Raw genomic sequence first — 6,153 nt, forward strand, 5'->3', positions numbered from 1 at the left:
AAGTCTGGGAAACTTGGATCCCAGCCTCATAGCGTCAGAACATCAGAACAGCCAGACCTGGCAGGGGAGGGGCCAGGGAGAAGGAGCAGAGGCAGTATTTTCCCAGGGTCCCCTGGGGAGCCTGGCAGTGTGGACTGGGGGTGGGGCCGAGGAGGACAGATGGGGCTGTGGGAGGGAGCAGCTGCCACTCTCCTCTCCAGGGATGCCCGTTCCCCAACTCCAGCCCGCATACCAGTGGGAGAGATCGTGAGACCCTCCCCCTATCCTTGCTCCCACCAGTCCTCAGTTTCCCTAGTGATACTGGAGAGACGATCTGTGAGGACCCCCCCTGAGTTGGGTGGGATAGAGAAAGACATGAGAACACCTACAAATAGCCTAGGGCACCCCGCTGGCACTCCCACCGGCCCTGGCAGCCTTTGGTTCTGTGGGAGAAGGAGAAACAGAATGGGCAGGCCGTTTGCCCAGGGTCCCCAAACACCCTGGTCTTCTAAGATTGGAGGTGGGTTTGGGGGCTCAGTCTGAAGCCCATTGGGCTACCCAGGATAAGCCTAGAGTGGAGGAATAAAATGGCATTAGAAGGGTCTCCTTGCTGGCTGGCCTCTCCAAGACCTTCCATCTTCCTTGTATGATCCTTCCAACAATGCTGCAAGATGTGGTCTTGTTTGACTGATGAGGAGCCGGGGTTCAGAGAGCCCAAGCCACTTGCTCGAAGCTGCACAGCAAGGGGGAGTCAGGTCTGTCCTTCGGACGGGTCTTTATCCTGAGTAACCTTGGTTAGGGACCAGGGAGGCCCTGAAGGGCCCCAGGGAAAGAACTCAGATAAAGCTTCCCTAGGATCCTTGATCAGGGTTTTGAAGCATGAAGAAAATTCTCCAGGCTTATCTGAAGGACAGAACATCCCAGGGAGAGAGACCAGCTAGGAACAAGGCAGAGAAGACAGGTTTTTGTGAATGACTATGTTTTAAATTACACAAGTGGCATATACTCAGAACATATCAAAACAACAGCCCACAGTTATAAAGGGAAAAGTGCCCCCTCCGCACCCCGGGTCTACAGCACACTTCTCAGAACTAACAATTATCATCATCCAGGTACATGTCTCCCCAGGTGTTTTTCAATCTCTACACAAATATTTTAAAAACAAAAACAGAGTCCGCTTTACAGGTTGTTTTCCAGCTTGCTTATTTTCACGTATCCTAGTGTTTCTGTGAGATGTACGGGAAGAGGCTCGCTGGGCCAGAGAGCATGCAAAACCTAGATCATTTCTGCCCATACAGGCATCTCCAGGCTGCTTCTCCACACCTGCCCAGTCTTTCCCGTTTCTGCTGAGAGGGGGAAGTGGTGTCCCATGTGGAATGGGCATGGATCTGATCATTTGTGAGACTCAGCGCCCATCGGGATGTCTGGTGGCTGTGGATTCACACTGCTATTGGGGATGACCTCTTGTATATCCTTCTGCCTGTTTCCTTCCACAGCTTGTTATGTGAATCTCCTAATTTGAAATCATTTGCAACTCATTCACACTTTGTAAAGCCTCATGCTGCCCACACACACTTGCCTGCAGCCTGGACAGAGCAGTCAGTGTTCACCAAGTGAGATGCTAACCAGCTAGTTGTTCCAACACCACTGGATTGGGTAACCCTCCACCTTTGCATTGATTCAGGACACCTCCTTTATCACCCATTATCTTGTAAATAATAGGGTCTGTTGCGGGTTTACTGAGTCTGTACCATTGATCTGTTTATTCTTACAGCAGAACCACAGGGTTTGAACGACTGTGATAATAGAATCTTGTTTAATATCAGAAAGCATTTATCTCTCTCTCTCTCTCTCTCACACACACACACACACACACACACACACACACACACCTCGCTTTATTTTTCCTAATTTTTGACTTCTTCTGCTGATCTTATTAGTTTTTCCAGATAAAGTTTGGAATCATTTGTCATTTTGCCTTTAAAAAAAACCCAGCAGAGTTTTGATCGAACCATCCTGTATGATAACTCATCTAGGATCTACCCACCTCCTCTCCTGCTGCCCCTCATCTTTCCCGCTGCTCGGGTGATCCTGTCCCTGTGTCAAGCGGATGGCAGGCATTCCCCAAGGGCAGTGTCCATTTCTGTGGCCCTGAGGGCCCTTCCGCATCCTAGTACTGGGTCACCGGGGGGCAGGAGGTGCTGTGGGGAAGAACAGCACTGCTCCCTAAGAGTTGCAGAGGGCACTTGGTTTCTTCCTACAAATGGGTGTGAAAGCCAGGCCTGGAAGTGTCCCTGTGCAAGGCAGGGAAGAAGGGGCCGGGCAAGCCGAGCTGAGTCCATGGCCGGCAGCCCCACCGGGGTGCAAACAGAGGGAAGAAGGCCGACCCCCCTGACCACCCTGGTACCAGGCCCTGGGGAATCATCAAGGCCACCCTGACCCACTCAAGACGGCCACTTGCAGCTCCTGGCCTGCCTGCCTGGCCATGCCTGGGCACTTTGTGGCCACAAAATTCAAACTGTTTACCATACACAGTGACTCGAGGAGGCAGGAGTCACTGTTAGAAGTGAATTGTTTTATGAAGGAGGGAAGAGAAGCTGTAAACTGTAACCCCTGAGCCTCGGTTCTTTGCTCTGAAGTGACTTGCTGGGACTTGAATCTGAGGCTTTCACCCCCATCTCTACTCAACACCACCCCCCAGCCTCCCCCAGCTCTGGCTGCTGCCTCCTTGTGAGAAACAGGCCCTGCAATTCGGGTGCGGTGGCTCACGCCTGTAATCCCAGCACTTTAGGAGGCCAAGGCAGGTGGTTCACTTGAGCCCAGGAGTTTGAGACCAGCTGGGGCAACATAGTAAGATCCTGTCTCTACAAAAAAACAAAATTCTTTTTTTAATTAGCTGGGCATGAAGGTACGCACCTATAGTCCTAGCTATGTGGGAGGATGGCTTGAGCCCAGAAATTTGAGGCTGCAGTGAGCTATGATAGCACGTCTGCACTCCAGCCTGGGTGACAGAGTGAGACCCTGTCTCCAAAAAGGAAGAAAGAAAAAAGAAACAGCTCCTGCTTTCCGAGAGTTTCCTGGTAATGAGTAGAGAGAGCTTGTCATAGGATCAAGAGTCTCTGTGTGTGTTATTCCCCACCCAACACCAAGAACAAACGAGGCTGGTGAACATTTGTGGGAAAGTGAATAGATCTAGTCTACAGAGGACTGGGGAGCACCTAACACCACCCACTGGGGGCACAGGGGACACAAGAGTGACCAGACACAGCCCCTGCTCTCTTGCAACTGACGTCACGGGACGAGGGGATCCTCTCTGATTGTTTCTGCTGGCTAGCCACCTCCCAGCACTCATGACAGCACCTGGCACTGTGTGCTCCAAAAATGCTGGTTGACAGGAGGAAGGAAATAAGCCGGGGGCACAACAGAGAAACAAGGAGGCCTCTTTTGGTGGCTATTCTGGGTTATGGGTCTGGATTCTGGCCTTTAAGTCCTGAGCCAAGTTCTAGGTTCGGATATGGGGTTCTAGGTTCTGGGACCTAGATTCTAGGCCCAAGGCTGCATGTCCTTAATGCTGAGTTATGGGTTCTGAGCTCCAAGCTCTACGTTGTAGATTTGGGGTTCCACATTCAGGGCCCCAGATTCTGGGCTTTGTGTTCTGAGAACTCGATTCTGAGGTCTGGGCTCTGGGCCCCCGTCTTAGAGGTCTTTGTAAGTTCTGAGCTCTCAGCCCCAAGCTGCAGGTTCTGGGTTGAAGGGTCCATGCCCTGGGCTGTATGTTTTGGGCTCTGGTTCCTGAGTTCTGGGGCCTAGAGCTATGGTTCCTGGTTTGGGGATCTAGGCTGCAGGTTCTCGACTCTAAGCTCTGCAGTCCAGGGCTGGCTCTGGGTTCTGGACTTTGGGCCAAGCAAGTAGGATGGTTCACCAGAGGCCAAGCAGAGTTATTATTTATGCTTCATGCCTGGAATGTAAGCTCCTTGAGGACAGATTCTTGTTTGTTTTATTCCCTGCTGTTGCCCCATGCCTACAGCAGTGCGTGGCATACAGGTGATGTTCAACAGGCTGTGCACACGTAAACACCTGATCGCAGAAACACACAGTCCTGCCGTCACTATCCAGGGGCATAGGAGACAGAGCCAACCCTGCCCTCACTGTGGCAACAGCTGGCAAGAGGAGAGGAGGCCTCCTGCTCTGGGGTTGTAGGGGGTGGAGGCCAGGGGGACCTAGGGCCACTATGCATCAGGTAGGAGGCACGTGCCTACCCTGCCAAGCCCCAGGCTGGCTCCTTTCTGTACTCAGTGTCAACTTCACAGGGAAGGACAAGAGGGGGTACCAGTGGCACACCAGGGCAGAGTCTGGAGGTCAGAGTCTATCCTGATGGGCTGGGGCAGCTGGGACAAGGTGCTGAACTTCCTGGTACTTTGGCCCACCCAGCTCTAAGCGAGAGACCTCCCAGTGTCAGCAGCCTGGTATTGGGAAGAGTTAAAGGAAAATCTCCTGGACCAGGTGGACATCAGGGCTGTCAAGGAACAAGGATGGTGGCAATCAGAAATACCCAGTCCTCAGGGCCCCTGGTGAATAAAGATCCTGGTGGTCAAAGATGATGACAACTAAGGTGAAGAGAAGCCATGGCTGACCAGGGACATACAATCAGAGTGATTTTTAATTAGGGACGGTGAAGTCAGCCAGAGATGATGTCCATCAGACACAACCTGGTCAGGGAGGGGTGTGTTACATGCTGGCCATCAGGAGCCAGTGTTCAGGGGTCTTGGCAACCAGAATTATCATTGAACAAATATGTCATCAATCATTGATCAGGGGGCATGGGTGGCTTCGGCTGTGAATGACCGGGAGCATTAGTGGGGAAAGTATTGGGTGTCCATGTCCTTGGTGGCCAAAGGTATACGAGATATTAGTGACCAGATTCAATGACTGGAGACATGGGGTCCAGAGATCTTGGTGAAGAGAACCAAATGCAGACCATCAGGGATCAAGGGCACTAGTGAGCAGAGACATCAATGATTAGAGAATTTGGTGATCAGAGACATTGGTGACTGGGTATTCTGATGACCAGGGATATCAATGACCAGGGAGGTCAGTGATCAGAGGTATAAGGGACTTTGGAAAACGGGAACATTGGTCAGCAGAGACTTTGAAGACGATTCAGCAATCACTGATGTTGGGCATCAGAGACATTGGTGATAAGAGATCTTGATGATCAGTGTTGAGCAATCAGGGGTATTGAGAACCAGAAACACCAGTGACTACATTGATAGGAAATATGATGGGGAGAGGATCCTATGATCAGGGACATTGGTCATCAGGCACATTGCTAGTTAGAAGTAATGGTGATCAGAAACAACTGACCAAGGACATTGTTAAAGAAACACTGGTGATAAGAAACAGTGTGATCAGAGATGCTGGAGATTACATGTGAGTGATTGGTCTATCACCAGAAAAAACACTTATCAATTACATTGGTGGTCATACTTATTGATGCCCTAGAACATTAGTGACAAAGCGCATTGGCGATCAACACATTGGTGAGAAGAGATACTATGATCAGGCATACTACTGGTGAGCAAAGATGGTCACTAGAGACATTCGTGATCACATTTTGTGGGTGTCAGTGATCAAACTCATGGTTAAGCAGAGGCATGGATGAAATATTGGTGATCAGTTGTTAGTCATCAGGTGTCTCTGATGGCAGGCTCTCATGATCAGACATGTCATTGATCTGGAATATCAGTCATGGTGCCTATCATTGATGACCAACATCACTGATCAAAGATGACAGCAATCAATGACATCAGTGATCACAGACACTGCTGGTCAAGTTTGCCAATGAACAGGAATATTGATGACCAAATATCTCAGAAACCAGAGCTGAGAGAAAGTTCAGCACCTGGAAGGAAGCAAATGGAGATGGGGTTTGCAGGAGCCTCGTTGAGCCCTCAGGGGTGGACCACAGGCTGGAGAAACCACGGCCTCCCTGCACCTCCCCAGTATCTTCCCATTCACTAGGACCCCTGGTGCAGTGACAGGAAATCCAGATGGGAGCAGTTCAGGGGAGGAGCCTCGGGACGTCAGTGGCAAAATCAGACCCAGGCCCAACAGAGGCCCCATCCTGGATTCCAGGGGCTTTCCCCTCGCAGCCACCCCGGCGACAAAAGCAAT

The sequence above is a fragment of the Homo sapiens genome, chromosome 3, assembly GCF_000001405.40.
Source record: "Homo sapiens chromosome 3, GRCh38.p14 Primary Assembly".
Taxonomy (NCBI): domain Eukaryota; kingdom Metazoa; phylum Chordata; class Mammalia; order Primates; family Hominidae; genus Homo; species Homo sapiens.